The sequence below is a fragment of the Homo sapiens genome, chromosome 6 (genome assembly GCF_000001405.40).
Source record: "Homo sapiens chromosome 6, GRCh38.p14 Primary Assembly".
NCBI classification, from domain to species: Eukaryota; Metazoa; Chordata; class Mammalia; order Primates; family Hominidae; genus Homo; species Homo sapiens.
This window is the reverse complement of record NC_000006.12, coordinates 129,777,254-129,779,026: the sequence shown is the minus strand read 5'-3', so window position 1 is coordinate 129,779,026 and position 1,773 is coordinate 129,777,254.

The window sequence follows — 1,773 nt, the reverse complement described above, 5'->3', positions numbered from 1 at the left end:
GACAGTGAAATAATATATTCAAAATATTCAGAGAAAATAACTGAGAAACCAGATTTTATACCCAGATAAACTATCATTCAAATGTCAGGTCAAAATGAATGGCTATTAAGATAAAAAAAACATGAGAGAAATTACAAATGGAGCTGAGTGAATTATTAAGAAAGGTACTTCAGGGAGGAGAACATTAATTTCAGGAAGAAATGAGATGCAAGGAGTAGAAAAGAACTTTTTACATCTTGATAAATCTTAAAAACAAAAGATTAAAGGTATAAAATAATAATACATGTGATGACTGGTTTGCAGCTATAAAAACAAGGGAATATGAAAATGCTGCCACAATATTAATATGTAAGATGGGAGATGCATCAATAGAGTTCAATCATTCTTCAGAAGCATGAAAGAGAGTAATTAAAAAAATTATTAATATTTCTTTTTAAATTTACATAAAGTAAATTCACTCTATTTGTTATAAACTCTAAGTTTTAAAAATTATTATTTTATTTCTTAGAGACAGAGTCTCACTCTGTCACCACGAGTGCAGTGGTGTGATCACAGCTCACTGCAACCTCGAACACCTGGGCTCAAGCGATTCTCCCATCTCAGCCTCCCAAATAGCTGGGACTGCAGGCATGTGCTGCCACACCTGGCTTGCTGTACATTCTGAGTTTGGACAAATGCAGGTAGTCATGTAATCACACCAACATCAAGATACAGAACTTTTCATTGCCCCCCAGATTCCATTGTGACTCTTATGGTAGTCTGTCCCTCCCCTCATGCCTAACTGTAAACATCCACTGATTTAACAGATCACCATCTCTGTAGTTTTGTCTTTTCTGGAATGCCATATAAGTGGAATCATACAGAATGTACCCTTCTTAGTCTAGCTTATTTCACTTAACACGTGCAACTGAGATTTAGCCACTCTATTGAGTACATCAACACTTCAGTCTATTTGATTCCTGAATAGTGGGCTTTGTCCAGTTACTCTAGCATCTTGTCATCTCAGAGTTGGCATCTGTAGATGAACATTTACTTTAATTGGTTAGATTTTTGTGATACTTTTCATACATTTGTATTTTATCACAGGCATTTTGAATATTATATTGTGAGACTCGGTCCTGTTAAACTCCTGTGGAGAATGTTAACTGATGTCAGCAATCAGTCAATGTTCAGACTAAAAGTTCCATCTTAGACTATGGTTCCACTGTAAGTTCATTTCTCAAAGCTGTGCTATGCTGTATGAATCCACCCTGTGCATGGGCCAGTCTGTGAATTTGTCCCTGTTTTATATCATAGTTCCATTCCCAAAGCCTTTGCTGTGCTTCTTTGGGTATGTTCTGCACATGCAGAGATAAGCTATAAGTGGGGGCTTGTGTCAGATTTTTTTGTATAGTTAGAGAATTCTCTTGCCCAGCTCTCTCATTTCAGGGATTCCCCCACATTCTCAGACTCCTAAAGTTCCCTTTTCTCAATTCCTCTGGCCAGAAAAATGGTTCTGCTAAGCTTCTGCTATGATAATTACATGTTCAATTTCCATTTAATCTTTCAATCTATGTAGGGATTTAAACATATTTCCTAATATTGACCCAATTTTTCATTCATCCAATGAACTCCACTTGGTCATAATATTTTATACCAGTAATGCTTTGTTAAATTCTATATGTTACTATTTCCTTTATTATTTCTGCATGATATGATTTGAATTTTTATCCCTGCCCAAATCTCATATCTAATTGTAATCCCCAATTTTGGAGGAGGGGCCTGGTGGGAGGT